The 14619-nt window shown below is 50.6% G+C and overlaps 1 long non-coding RNA gene across 1 annotated transcript, besides 3 other annotated features; it reads right to left on the bottom strand.

The window, feature by feature from the left end:
- Nucleotides 996–1497: an enhancer, noted in NCBI's record as "NANOG hESC enhancer chr17:75931085-75931586 (GRCh37/hg19 assembly coordinates)". NCBI's record gives its function as "activates a minimal SCP1, AML or CMV promoter by ChIP-STARR-seq in primed H9 embryonic stem cells {active_cell/tissue: H9 hESC(primed)}" and the evidence as "EXISTENCE:reporter gene assay evidence [ECO:0000049][PMID:30033119]".
- On the bottom strand, nt 1134–10228 carry LOC105371909 (uncharacterized). Its single transcript, XR_935002.3, has 3 exons — nt 9992–10228; nt 1600–1768; nt 1134–1369 (listed from the first exon to the last, which is right to left on the bottom strand). It is a non-coding gene; the product is annotated as an uncharacterized LOC105371909 (long non-coding RNA).
- Nucleotides 4289–4900: an enhancer, noted in NCBI's record as "H3K4me1 hESC enhancer chr17:75927682-75928293 (GRCh37/hg19 assembly coordinates)". NCBI's record gives its function as "activates a minimal SCP1, AML or CMV promoter by ChIP-STARR-seq in naive H9 embryonic stem cells {active_cell/tissue: H9 hESC(naive)}" and the evidence as "EXISTENCE:reporter gene assay evidence [ECO:0000049][PMID:30033119]".
- Nucleotides 5873–6818: an enhancer, noted in NCBI's record as "H3K4me1 hESC enhancer chr17:75925764-75926709 (GRCh37/hg19 assembly coordinates)". NCBI's record gives its function as "activates a minimal SCP1, AML or CMV promoter by ChIP-STARR-seq in naive H9 embryonic stem cells {active_cell/tissue: H9 hESC(naive)}" and the evidence as "EXISTENCE:reporter gene assay evidence [ECO:0000049][PMID:30033119]".
- Nucleotides 10229–14619: the final 4391 nt, after the last annotated feature.

Below are 14619 nucleotides of genomic sequence, written 5' to 3'. Positions count from 1 at the left end.
TCTACTTCTTCTACTTTCTACTTTTTCTACTTCTACAATCAAATGTATTTCATTGAAGGAAATAATAAACAAACCATCAGATACTGCTTTGGATTCCCACTGACGGTGAGAAAGAGAAGCAAGCTCAAGCAAATCATCAGTGCTAATGATAAGGGTGGTGCCAACCAAAGGAGAAAGAAGCCTCCACACTTGGCTGATAATTGCTGAGGACTAAACTCTGATTTTTTTTTTTTATCTTGCCCAAATTCCTATCTAAGGGGTCTGGGGAGTCATGCCCTACAAACCATAAATTCTCATCAGATGGGTTTTATTTGACCCTGTATATTGTGACTTACTTTCCAATCTGACTGTGGCATAACAAGGAAGAAAATCAAAATGTTTTACCCCAAAATATATTTCCTTGCCATACCTTAAAATTGCCCTGCAAAGTCTCTTGTGGGAAAAATCCACATCCTATAGAGAATCTCGTTTCCCCTTTGTTTCCTTCTCTCCTTTCCAGATCCAGGAGATAATCAACTAGCCTGATAAGAAACATTTTACAACCTGCTCTCTCTCTAAAGTCTGCTGAGACATTCCTCTGCACAATAAAACTTGGTCTCCACAATCCTTTATCTTAACCTGAGCATTTCCTTTACCCCAGGTCTTCAGATAAACTCAACCAATTGTCAACCGGAAAATGTTTACATTTACCGATCGCCTGAACCCCCTCGGCCCCACCCCCCACCACCTCCCCCTCCCCCGCCCTGCCCCACTTTGAGTTGTCCCACCTTTCTGAACCAAACCAATGTATTTCTTAAATGTATTTGATTGATGTCTCATGCCTTCCTAAGTGTATAAAACCAAGCTGCACCCTGACCACCATGGGCAAATGTTCTCAGGACCTCCTGAGGGCTGTGTCACGGGCCATCGTCACTCATATTTGGCTCAGAATAAATCTCTTCAAATATTTTACAGAGTTTGACTGTTTTTTGTCAACATTGCCACCGGGCACGGAGGCCTGGGCCCTGGAAACGTCCCTGGGTAAATACCGAAGCGGGAAGAGGGATGGCTGGTTTGACGCAAACAGATCGGAAGGGAGGACTTTAGACAGAATAACCCCCAGGAAGACTGAGGGATTATGGACTCCCAGGCGATTTCCTAAAGGACAGTGCTGAAGTGTCTCTTTTTATTGAAAATTGGACTGTGTGAAACAGGGTCAAATTAAGGGAGCTTTCTCAGCAGTCACCTGAGGGGCCTCTTCTCTCTAATTACTAGGATCGCACCAGATGACTCCCTTTGTTCTGCCTGGCTTCTGAAATAACAGCTTCCTCTCCGAAGGTGCAGGCATGCAAAACACGGTGTTGATCTGGTATTCTCTGAAGTGGTTAATCTACATGCAGAACGATGAAAAGGTGGTTTATTAGGTTAATTGCTACTGCAAAAAAAATATTTTTTTTTCTGCTGAGAGCATACGTCTGAAAATCAATACATAAGGCTGTGCAAATAGAAATAGAATTGTGGCCCCAGAGCATCTTTCCCCATAAATCAGTGTGGTTAAAAGTATGGTCACCAGATTATGTTGAAACCTTCGTATAGCAAACAAGAAAAATCCACACACACCTTCGAGCCACACTGGGAAGTTCAGGCCACCCCAGTAACTTTCATCTTGGGAGCCACAGGGATGATCTTCAACTACTGTTTTTCCCTCCATTCCAATTCGCCCTGTTGTAAGATGTATCATTAGCTGACAAGTTTCTTTCCACGTTTATTATAAGATGCACTTCAATTTCTGGAAAGTTAGAAAGTGAAAAAATGTTTCTTTTTTTTTTTCTTGAGTCAGAGTCTCTCTTTGTCACCCAGGCTGGAGTGCAATGGTGTGATCTAGACTCACTGCAACCTCCGCCTCCTAAGTTCAAGCAATTCTCGTGCCTCAGCCTCCCAAGCAGCTGGGATTACAGGCATGCACCACCACGCCCGGCTAATTTTTGTATTTTTAGTACAGACGGGGTTTCACCATGTTGGCCAGGCTGGTCTTGAACTCCTGGCCTCAAGAGATCCACCCATTTTGGCCTCCCTAAGTGCTGGGATTACAGGCGTGAGCCACCACACCCAGCCAAAAATGTTTATTTTCAAATGGAGAAAATGTATTAAAAGGTATGACTGTTTTTTCTTTGTCTATTTTTGCCTCTGTCTTACTCTTTTTCTCTTTCTCACCACTTCTCTGCTTTCTTCCCTGCACCGCTTCTTCCTTTCCTTCCTCTCCACCCTTCCCATGTTTGGTTCTAGGGTACACTAAGAACAGTTGGCTTCAGCTTGGAAATTTACAGCTGGGTGGGAGGGATGTGTGGGAAGCTTTGGGAAAGACTGGTTCACGTTCATTTAGCAAAACAATCCCTGTTTGCCTGAAGACCTGTTCTGCCATCTGATCACCCCCCAGGGAAGCATTCTCCCTAACAGAAAAAACTTGACTTTGTTATGCTCAGGCCAAGGCGTAATTCTCCTCACTCTCCACCCAACTCCATGCCATAGATGCCCCTAAGCCTTAGGTAACTCACTTCCCTTTTCTGAGTCGTAATAAGGTCCTGTTTTGTAAAGTTTTGTGTTTTTTTTTTTCCTTTGAGACAGGGTCGCATTTTGTCGCCTAGGCTGAAGTGCAGTGGCATGATCATAGCTTACTGCAGCCTCAGACTCCTGGGCTCAAGTGATCCTCCTGCCTCAGCCTCCCCTGTAGCTGGGGCCACAGGCGTGTGCCACCACGCCCAGCTAATTTTTAAAATTTTTTGTAGAGATAGGAAGTCTCAGTATGTTGCCCAGCCTGGTCTTGAACTCCTGGGCTCAAGCAATCCTCTGGCCTTGGCCTCCCAAAGTGCTGAGATCATAGGCATGAGCCACTATGCCCTGGCTTTCATAAGGTTCTCGAGAGCAGTGAAAAAGATAATGTCCACTAGAACTCCAAGGAGAGTGCTGGGTGTATAGTAACTGCTCAATAAGCACTCAGCTCCTCTCTTTCCTGAAAAACCCTTTCTACAAGTTGAGAGTATGTCTTTGCTGGCTAGAAGTAGGACAGTTGAATGTCAAGTTGAGCTTCAGACATGCAGCTGGATTCTTCATATTGAAAGAAGTTGGATTTCTTTCCTGTGAGCTCTCAAAGTGGTGGAGACTCAGGTCATGTTCTAACGAGGCTTTTCAAGAGTTTCAAAAACTGGAAGGAAACTGCGAGGAAGGAGATGGACTTAGTGGTGCCAGGACAGAAGGTGAGCAGGAGAGGAGACCAGAAGAAAGGATGGCGTGGCAGGTCAAAGCTAAGGTAAGATACTCTCTTCCATGTGTGTTTTGGGTGGTGAGAAAGGAAGGATAAAACCAGCCCTGGAAGGTTTCTTTTTCTTTTCTTCTTCTTCTTCTTTTTTTTTTTTTTTTTTTTTTTTTTGAGACAGTCTTGCTCTTGTCGCTCAGGCTGGAGCTCTTGTTGCACAGGCTGGAGTGCAGTGGCGTGATCCCAGCTCACTGCAACCTCCGCCCCCTGGGTTCAAGTGATTCTCCTGCCTCAGCCTCCCGAGTAGATGGGATTACAGGTGCCCGCCATCACGCCTGGCGAATGTTTGTATTTTTAGTAGAGGCAGGGTTTTACCATGTTGGCCAGGCTGGTCTCAAACTCCTGACCTTAGGTGATCTGCCCCCCTTGGCCTCCCAAAGTGCTGGGATTACAGGCGTGAGCCACCTGGCCCGACCAGTCCTGGAATGTTTCTGAGAGCAGAGCTGGCACCTGGGCCTAGAGAGCTTTCTGAAGCCTGCGTCACAGAAGAGCAGGAGCTGTGTTTTTCAAACTGCTGAAGGACACCCACCAGGTTTCAAAATCCGGGTTGTGGGTTGTGAAAACTAGAATTAGAATAGTATAGAAAAGATAATGTTGGCCAGGTTCGGTGGCTCACACCTGTAATCTCAGCCCTTTGGGAGGCTGAGGTGGAGGATCACTTGAGCCCGGAAGTTCAAGACCAACCTGAGCAACACAGTGAGACCCTGTATCTACAAAAACATTAAAAAATTAGCTAGACGTGGTGATGTGTGCTTGGTGTCCCAGCTACTTGGGAGGCTGAGGTGGGAGGATCACTTGAGGCTGAGAGGTTGAGGCTATATTGACCCATGATCATGCCACTGCACTCCAGCCTGGGTGACAGAGCAAAACTCTGTCTCAAAAAAAAAAAAAAAAAAAAAAAAAAAAAAATATATATATATATATATATATATATATATATATATATATAAAACCTAGGCCGGGCACGGTGGCTCACGCCTGTAATCCCAGCACTTTGGGAGACTGATGTGGGCAGATCACCTGAGGTCAGGAGTTCGAGACCAGCCTGTCCAACAAGGCAAAACCCTGTCTTTACTAAAAATGCAAACCTTAGCTGGGTGTGGTGGCGGGCGCCTGTAATCCCAGCTACTCGGGAGGCTGAGGCAGGGAGAATCGCTTGAACCTGGGAGGCAGAGGTTGCGGTGAGCTGAGATCGTGCCGTTGCACTCCAGCCTGGGCAACAGAGTGAGACTCTGTCTTAAAAAAAAAAAAAAGGAAAGAAAAGAAAAGAAAAATAGAATAGAAAATACTAGTGCACAAGGCTGTGTCAAGGTATGCTCTTTTGTGACCTTCAATGCACACTGCTTGTGCGATTCACTTTCTCTCTGCCACGTGCCGTGCATGGGCTGCAGGCCCTGTCTTCGCTCAAGTATTTTGGGGACAGGCCCCAGAAGAGGTGCAGGTGGAAGTGTTTGGCCAGAGGGGCCCTTCAAAGCCTCTCAGCACCCAGCCCACCCCTCAGGGCCTGGACCCGCCTCTTCCCTGCTGCCTTTGACCTGGGAAAAACAGTGCTTGCCCAAGTAGAACAGTGGCTCCACATTCCACATTCCCGGGGAGAAGCGGGGAGTCTGGCCCACAGGGAGGTGTGTCTATCTCTAGCTTGTTTAGTGAAACAAGGAAGGAGTTGGGGCAGCAAGTCTCCGCGGATATGCCTCTTGTATCTGAGCTTGGGTCTGTGCGTGTGTCCGCTGAGAAGCCGCCGGTGCTTCCTGAAGCCGCTGGGGAAGGACGTCCCCCGGGCCTCCGAGGAAACTTCCCAAGGCGGGGAACTTGATTCTTCCACAGCTGCCTTGGTGGATACCCACTCCTTTGCAGCCAAGACCTATCCAGGCCAGCCCCACTGAGTGTGTGTGTGAGAGAACGGAGGGTGTGTGTGCAGTGTGGATGTGTGTGGATGTGAGAGAGACTCAGAAAGAGAGGAGGGGATGGATGGAGGCGTGTGTGTGCATGGGCACGTGCGTGTTCACCAACGTGTCCGAAGAAAGCCTTTGCCAGGCAAAAGCAAGCAGGAAGAGAGCAAGAACCTCTCCATGTACTATATTCTCTGATGACCCTTTTAAATATATGACAAACAGTTAAAACAAAAGCCCATTTAGCTTTTATGCCTGTGATTCGTGGTATCCATCCCAGTTAATTACAGTGATTTAAAAACATCTGCATTTAATAAAGAACCTTCCTCTCCCCCAGTTCTCAGCCCACCCCGCTCCCAACCCCAGTCTTTCTTCAGGCCACTGGGCTAATGCAGTAATTACATCTCCATGCCAGGCCACAGCTGAGGGATGGCAGAAGGGGAGGCTTCATCAGGCGGGGAAGGCAAAGTAGGGATGGGCGGGGCAGGGAGGTAGGGCTGGGGTGGGAGGGGGAGAGAGTTGGGGAGGGGGAGCTTGTGGGGCAGGGCAGGTTGGAGCTGGGTGGGGAAGGTGGGGCTGGGGGAGGTGGGGTAGGGGCAGAACTGGGGCCTGGGGAGCTGCAGGGGGGAAGCTGGGACGAAGGGAGCTGGAATGGAGGTAGCGGGAGGCTTGAGGCAGAGCTGGGTTGGGGGGAGGTTTTGGGGAGCCGAGTCAGGCCTTCTCTCTAGCAGAGGAATCCTAGGTTGGGAGGATTCAAATCCAGAGACTAGGAAATGGGTATATTCAAAGCCCTTTATTCATTCTGGGTCATAGGATTGTTTATTTCACAAAAAGGGAGACTGAGGCAAGGCAAGGGACTTCACTCTTCACCCTGGGGCCCTCCCTTTGCTTCAGGAAGGAGGCTGGGAGTGGTAGAGAGAAGGGCAGGAGACCGAGAACAGAGAGGCGAGTGGAAAAGCCTCCAGACAGGGGAGCCAGTCCTAGGGCCAGAACGTTCTTTTTAAAAATGTGATGCGCTGGCCTCCGGCTCCCTCCTGCTGCCCTGGTGATGTGTTTGTGGCCCATGCTTGGGGCTGTGCCTGTCACTGGTCACATGGACTCCTCGGTGGACATCAGGAGGCTCAGTGGCCTCCTGGACACACAGCCTTGGGTGAGTCCCAGCCTGCCATGGACAAGCAGAAAGGATCCTGGCCGGGCCCCGGGGAAGGGAGTGTGGGCCACAGCCCTGCAGGGAGTCTGGCCTCGGTCGAGGGGCAGGTGGGCCTGGGGGTCTGGCTGAGGACTGCAAGGTGCCAGCCCTTTGCTCAGGAATCCCCGTTCCCGCAGCTGCTGACCACAGTGCAGCGCACTGCCCACTGCCTCCCCTGGCAGGTCTCTCACCTTGCCCCAAACGCCACCTTCAGTGCAGGAGTAGCTGATGGCTGCCTGATTTCAGTGGAGGAGAAAAACTGAACACCTGATTCTACGGAGCAGTTCGGGGCTTTGGAAGATCTGGGAGATGTGGGGACCCTGGGAGAGGAAGAAGGATGGGCACAGCAAGGAAGAGGGAGGAGAAACCAGCTTTGGGGTCTGGAGAAGGAGGGCAAGGTCCTGGTGGCCCTGTGTGGGGGTCTTGGGGAATGACACATTCCCAAGTTCAAGTGCAAGACCTCCGCTCTCAGAAAGAGGGGTGTGGGGGCCAAGGAGGAAGGAGGGAGACTGGCACTTGGGCATTACCCAGGGCTGGCATCCTTCTGGCCTCAATACCTGCAGCCAGGAAGTGACTCCTCCCTGTAACCCTGCCCGCAGCCCCCATTTCCTGATCCCAGGGGTAGAGACTCCTGGCGCTGGAGGGCAGGCAATAGGCCCCTAAAAAACCCGTAAAGCTGCTTCTGGATGGGAGAAGTCTGTGGGTGGACTCTCACGCAGGAAGGGGGATGTTGATGGACAAGAAAGAAATGACTGCACCCTGCAGTGTTGGAAGCAGGCTTTGGAGGCCAGCAGCCCCTCTGAGGACCAGCTGGGATCATGGTGGTGGTGTCCGACTGGAGAGGACCTGCGTCAGGCTGGGGCCTGCTGTTCCCAGAGGGAGAACTGTGGGGTCTCTGTGCCTCTCCCAGGTTGGAACTGAGAATGAACTTTGCTTCCTGAGGTTGCCTTTTTCCAAAGCTGCAATCTTCCTTCAACTTCTGTTCTCCACAGCCAAGAAAGAGAAGATCAGAGAATGCATTCTCAGTGGGGTTCAGGTGGCCCTGCTGGGCCCCACAGCCACCTGCTGGGACCAGGCTCAGATAAAACCCAGAGGATCAGACCACAGGAACACCATCAAAGCCAGCTACTCCCTTGTGGCCCTTCGACAGCAGCCTGGGGGAGGGGGGATCGGTGGGGTGCACCTGCTGGAGCCCACATTCCCAGGGAGGGTGAAAGGAGACTCAAAAAAGCCAGCCTCTCAGGGGTTACTCCTTCCAGGAGAAAATAAACCTTTTCTCCTTTCTTTTCTTTCTTTTTCTTTTTTCTTTTCTTTTCTTTTCTTTCTTTTTTTCTTTTTTTTTTTGAGACAGGTTTAGTGGTGCCATCACAGCTCACTGTAGCCTCAGCTTCCCAGGCTCAAGCTATCCTCCCACCTTAGCCTACCAAGTGGCTGGGGCTACAGCTGCATGCCACCACGCCTGGCTAATTTTTAAAATATGTTTTATAGAGATGAGGTTTCACCATGTTGCTTAGGCTGGTCTCAAACTCCTGGGCTCAAGCAGTCTGCCCACCTTGGCCTCCCAAAGTGCTGGGATTGCAGGCATGAGCCATCTTGCTCAGCTAGGAGACCTTTCTTCAGTTCCTTGAATGTAGGCTCGTAACCCATCCTCCTCTCTGCGCACCCTTCCCACTACCCTCCCCACACCCTGCTTCCTTTTCTTCATTCAGCATGTCCGTTTGCTTGTTGTTTCTCTCCCCAAGTGGAACATGAGCTCTGAGAGGGCAGGGAATGCACACTGGCTGGGTCTGCAGCAAACGCATGACTGGGGACGTGTCACAGATGCACACATGGGCACATGGCAACAGACGCAGCAAACGCACATTGCCCTCACGCTGCAGGCTCTGCAGAGGCTTTGTGTGACGCCTAGGCAGCAGATGCGGCCCTCTGGTTTTGATTCTGAGATCCCCTTGCCCGCTGTCCATCTTTGTCCTCTTCCACCCTCCCCATCCAGGCCTCCTGTCTGCCCCTTTCTAAGCCCTTTCCTTCTGAGTGGACAGGCGCCTGACACATCCTTCAGTTTCCCCTGCAGAGTGCCATGGATCCTCTTCTTGGAATGAATTTGGATCCCCTGCAATGTCTGCCACACCTCCCTCAGGGGGCAGTCTCCCACGGCTTCACCTGTGTCTCTGCTCCTCTGGCCCATTCACGGATGGGAAGAGATGCCCTGAGCTCCTGCCCATGGGGGATTCCCAACTGACACTGTTCCCTGTCGCCTCCCCAGGTTCCAGCTCCCATTCTTCTTCTTTTTTTTTTGAGACAAAGTTTCACTCTTGTTGCCCTGGCTGGAGTGCGATGGTGTGATCTTGGCTCACTGCAATTTTCGCCTCCCCGGTTCAAGCAGTTCTCCTGCCTTAGCCTCCCGAGTAGCTGGCACTACAGTCACACACCACCACCCCTGGGTAGTTTTTAGTATTTTTACTAGTGACGGGCTTTCACCATGTTGGCCAGGCTGGTCTTGAACTCCTGAACTCAGATGATCCACCTGCCTTGGCCTCCCAAAGTGCTGGGATTACAGGCGTGAGCCACCACGCCCACCCCAGCCCCCTTCTTTTGAGGAAGCTGCCATGCCATTGCTGTCACCTGCTGACCCTGCCTCCCAGCCCCTGAGCAGCCCTGGCTCACCTCTCACCAGCATCGCATCCCCTGTGACCTCATCTCCTTGTGGGCGGCAACCCTTGACCTCCCTCTTACATTATAGCTACTTGTGTTTGTGTCTCTCTTCTCTAGGTCATCAGTACCTGCATAAAAGAGACTGGGTCTTTTTCCTCCTGGTAAGTTTGAACATAATGAGGTAGGAGGTGGGACCTGACTCCAGAGGTGGGGCTCAGACACTGGAACAGATTGAGGACTAGCTAAAACCAGACCAGTGCAGAAGCAGCTTTCCAGTCAGACATGGCCACCAGTGTGCTATGTCAGGTTCCCATTGCCATGGCAACAGCCGGGAATTACCGCCTCTTTCTATGACAATGTTGATGACCCAAAAGTTACTGCTCATTCCCTAGACATTTCTGCATAAACTGCCCCTTAATCTGCATGCAATTAAAAGTGGGTATAAATATGTCTGCTAACCTGCCCTGAGTGGCAGCTCTCAGCACACTGCCTATGGGGCAGCCCTGCTCTGCAGGGGCAGTCATGGAGCTGTCACGCAACTGTAACACTGCTGCTTCAACAAAGCCATTTTCTTCTACCCCCTGCTTGCCTTTGAATTATTTCCTGGGCAAGACCAAGAACCCTCATGGACTAAGCCCCATCTTACAGCTCGCTTGCCCTGCCTTAGTAGGACCTTGCGCGTCGTAGGTATCAAAGAATGTGTTGCTGAAGTGAGTTGAATCAAATCTGCCTTTCAGGAGTTTTCCCAAGTTTTGGTGGTAGGAGGCTGTAGGTGGAGTTGACCTCAGAGTGTTCTGATGGGGACCTCAAGTGAGAGATGGCAGACCTGTCCAGCCCCTCTCCATCAAGAGAAGGAAGAACCCTCCCGAGGAGGCAGCCTGGGTGGTGCTGGGATTTGGCCAAGACACTCCATCTGCTGGAAAGGCAACGGAAAGCTTCGAACCACTTTCTTTTGGCTTGTGAACTCACCGGCTAATTGACAAATGTGCGTCCTGTGCATGAGCTGCGAAGATTTTCCATGATCAGCAGAGCCCAGTGATATCTGGGGTTCACCAAGAGCTGTGGGGCCCTTTGTGTCTAGAAACTTCTGGCCATTGTCAGCAGAGAGGCCCCTGGTCGCTGTTCAGGGTCCTGCTCACTGGCAACCCATGACATACTGAGAGTCATCATTGTCCAATGCTGAGCACATAGTGAGTCCTCAAGAAATAGTTCTTGAATGAATGAGTGAGTGAGTGAGTGAAAGAACAAGAGAATAAAAGAACAAAATGAGACCATATGCTTTTTACACCAAGTTGTAAGTTCAATCCCTAACTGTGCCAAAAAGTTTTAATTCTTTCCAGAATTAAGGCCATGCCATGTGGTCCTATGAGGGCCTTCTCTGATTGTTTGTTTATCAGCGAATATTTATTGGGCTCCTACTAAGGGCAGGTTCTGAGCTCTAGCTGGACGCACCAGCCCAGCCATCGGATGGTGGGAAACCGTCTCTAAGCGCTGGAAGCTTATCAGCGTGGGTGGGGACAGCATCCCTGGCTGTGAGGAAGGGCAGCCCATTTCTTTCTTTCTTTCTTTCTTTCTTCCTTCCTTCCTTCCTTCCTTCCTTCCTTCCTTTCTTTCTTTTTTTTTTTTTTTGAGACAGAGTTTTGCTCTTGTTGCCCAGGCTGGAGTGCAATGGCGCGATCTCGGCTCACTGCAACCTCTGCCTCCCAGGTTCAAGCAATTCTCTCACCTCAGCCTCCCAAGTAGCTGGGATTACAGGCATGCGCCACCATGCCTGGCTAATTTTTTTTGTATTTTTAGTAGAGATGGGGTTTCTCCGTGTTGTTCAAGCTGGTCTTGAACTCCTGACCTCAGGTGATCCGCCCACCTCGGCCTCCCAAAGTGCTGGGATTACAGGCGTGAGCCACCGAGCCCGGCCCGGGCAGCCCATTCCTCTCTTAGTAAATCACTACTGCCTGGCATCTGTTCCCCGACATTCTGAGTCCTTCCTAGTGTGATGTTCTCAAGCGTTTGCTCTCAAGACGAGGAGCCCAAATAGGAAAGGGCGGGATGGTTGGATTGGATTTCTGGCAAATTCAGGATCTCCAGGATTGATTGATTCATCTGTCCCTTCATCAATCATTTACACACGAACCCATGGGGTCCAAACTTGACGCACATTCTTGCTGGAACACAACCTGGCCTGACCCTTCCCTGCTCTGTGCCAGGCCCGCCCTGTGAACCCCAGATATGGTTGGGCTCTGCTGATGTCATGAATAATCTTAGCAACGCACGCCTTGTCAACTAGCCAGGGAGCTGACTGCCAAGAGAGGGAGGTTTGTGGTTTGACATCGTCCTTCCAGGAGACAAAGGGCCCACTCTCTGGCCACCAAGGAGTATTCTCCCATGCTCAGCGCTGGGAGAACCCACGTCCAGGACTGTGCCAGGCAGGCCCCTCTCCAGACTCGGGGAGGTGGAGGTCTGGGAGATGCCTCTTGTCCCGGGCACCTGGGGCTTGGCTGAGCTACCTGTGTCGCGGGGAGGGATGGGGGAGGCTCTCACTCTCTCACTCACACATCAGGAGTAGAAATGACAAATGACTCCCGCTGGGAACCCTGCCTGCCATCCTGCCGGATCATTTATCTCAGCAGCAAGTGATTTGCATACCGACAGGGTGGGAACTGCCTCTCTGCTCACCCTCCATTCCTTCTCCCACCCTGTTCCCACTCCAGCTCAACTCAAAACAGGGCTGCCTGCCCCAGCAGCCACCTTGGGTGTCACCCTAAAGTCCTTGAATGCCTCCTCCACTGAGACTGCTGAAAATGATTGCCATCTCTCCAAAAGGCTCCTATTAAATGGTGGAAGCTAACTCTAGGGAGCAAGTCAGCCCCTTCCTGGTTGTGGGGCCAGGGAAGAGGGGCTCAGGGCAAATGACACTGTGCCCTACTATTTGGATGTGCCCATGAGCATTTGCCCAGAAGGAGGGGAGTGGGAGGTGAAGGCTGACTGCCCACCCTTGCACCAGGTATCCTCACAGGCACCGTTACCCTGCTCAGCCTTCCAGCCTTGTTTTTCTTTCTTTCTTTCTTTCTTTCTTCTTCTTTTTTTTTGAGATGGGGTCTTACTTTGTTGCCCAGGCTGGAGTGCAGTGGTGCGATCATGGCTCACTGTAGCCTTGACTTCGTGGGCTCAAGTGATTCTCCCACCTCAGCTTCCTGAGTAGCCGGGACTACAGGCACGTGCCAGCATGCCTGGCTAATTTTTACATACATTTTTTGTAGAGATGATGTTTCACCATGTCGCCCAGGCTGGTCAAATTCCTGGGATCAAGCAATCCACCCACCTTGTCCTTCCAAAATGCTGGGATTACAGGTGTGAATCACTGTGCCCAGTTCCAGTCTCATTTTCTGGGGGGTGGAATGTTGCCCGAGGGCAAACAGGGGACAGGCAGGGTTTGAATCCCTTTCTCTCGACTCCAAAGTGTATAAGTACCTCTGAGTCTTCTTGTCACCAAGAGGCCACCTGCAACCTGGGGCATTCAGGGGAGAAAGGTCGCATGCTTAGGAAGCAGCAACCAGGTGCAGGTGCAGGGTGGTTGGAGGGTGTGGGCCAGGTGGCCTCTGCTTTCTTGCTTTCTTGTTCCCACTGCCTCTCTGTTTCCTGGTGACTTCATTCCTTCACCAGCCTGGCACCGCCACATGCCAGGAGACATCCAGATCCCCTCCATTTGCAGGGCCAGCCACTCAGGGTGGCACCTGGCTGGTCTCTAGCTGAGCGATGAGTTCCAGGTCGGGGGTGTGTCCCTGGGGATGAGGGGGTAAGGGCAGTGTAGGAAGTTCCAAAGGCTGGGAGGGAGGACAAGTCTCTAGGAGGTCAGGCTCAGGGGGCTGGGGTACCCCAGGGGAGAAGGGCCTGCACAGGCGACCCACTGGGGGTCTGTGCTGGTTTTGTCTAGGCTGGCCCTGCCCTCAAATCCCTTGCAAGCTGCCCTGCCTCAGGATGGAGGGAAGCCTCCTTCGACTTTATACCCAGTTAGAGCTTCAGGGGCCTTTGTGGAGTTCCCTCCTCCCAGGTCCTCTGCCCACCAGCTCTCTGAGCACTGCGCTCAGAGACCAGGCACAGCCCTGGAGGTTTCACTCAGTTTCTAGGCACAGCGGGGCCCGAGGAAGGCTTAGCATCTAAGCCAAGATAACAGTCTTCCTTTCTCCTGCACCACGAGAAATCAGTGTGCCACCCAGGGCAGGCAGTGAGCACATGCAGTATCCGTAGGAAATTTACAAACAATAATAAAACTGGCTAAAAGTTCGTCTGCTTTTTATTAACATCGTGCATCCGCACTTCTAAACAATGTCCCTGAAAATTTTTTTGGTTGGCCTCTGTTCTAAACAAGTTCTGCTTACTGTTGAGTTCTAATAATATATATGTAAGCTTCAAATTAGCACATTTTTATTACTTACTCTGATAAACATTGCATTCTTTGTGACAGTTAATTTGGAAAATGCCAGTTGTACAGTCAGCTCCCAGCACAAGGATGGCCACTGGTTTTCACGTTTCTAAGGTGTGGAATCATTTGAGGCGCCTTGGGTGTAGTCTATGTAACCAACCCCTGCAGAATTACATTCTCCTTCATTAAACAGATTAGAAATGCACAATGACAGCACAGGGATTGCAACGATGAAGCAACAGAGCTGGACTTCTTTCAGCTCCGTCATTCTGTGTGACCACAAATCCTCCTTATCTGCAATTCAAATTTAAAACAGTGAAAGAGGCCATGTGTGGTGGCTCAAGCCTGTAATCCCAGCACTTTGGGAGGCTGAGGCGGGCAGATCACCTGAGGTCAGGAGTTCGAAAGCAGCCTGGGCAACATGGTGAAACCCCCGTTTCTACTAAAAAAACAAACATTAGCCAGGCATGGCGGCACACGCCTGTAATCTCAGCTACTCAGGAGACTGAGGCAGGAGAATCACTTGAACCCAGGAGGTGGAGGTTGCAGTGAGCTGAGATTGCACCACTGTACTCCAGCCTGGACGACAAGAGTAAAACTTCATCACAAAAAAACAAAGAGTGAAACAGTGTGAACTGCAAGGAGAAGTGTTTGGTAAATACAAATTTTAGTTCATACATGAAATATTTTACTGAATTTGAATAATTTTTTAACATGAAAATTTATTCTTCTATGAAAACAGTTTTAAATCATAAACCAAAAAAGAACGTCTATTACTTTATAGCTGTATTAGTATCCTACGGTTGCTGTAACAAATTGTACCACAAACTTGGTGGCTTCAAGCAGCAGAAATGTATTTATGTATTTAAGACAAGGTCTTGCTCTATAGCCCAGGCTGGAGTGCAGGGGTAAGACCTTGGTTCACTGCAGCCTCGAACTCTTGGGCTCAAGCGATCCTCCAGCCTCAGCCTCCCAAGTAGCTGGGACTACATGCGTGCACCACCATGCCTGGCTATTTTTAAATTTTCTGTAGAGTTGGGGTCTTACTATGTTGCCCAGGCTTGTCTTGAGCTCCTGGCCTCAAGCATTGCTCCTACTTCGGCCACAGCATAAATGTCTTATCTTACAATTCTGGAGGCCAGAAGTCTTAAATGGGTTTCATCCGGGTGTTGGCAGG

The sequence above is a fragment of the Homo sapiens genome, chromosome 17, assembly GCF_000001405.40.
Source record: "Homo sapiens chromosome 17, GRCh38.p14 Primary Assembly".
In the NCBI taxonomy this organism is placed as follows: Eukaryota; Metazoa; Chordata; class Mammalia; order Primates; family Hominidae; genus Homo; species Homo sapiens.
The sequence above is the reverse complement of the archived record's forward strand: the minus strand, read 5'-3'. Positions and strand labels throughout refer to the sequence as shown.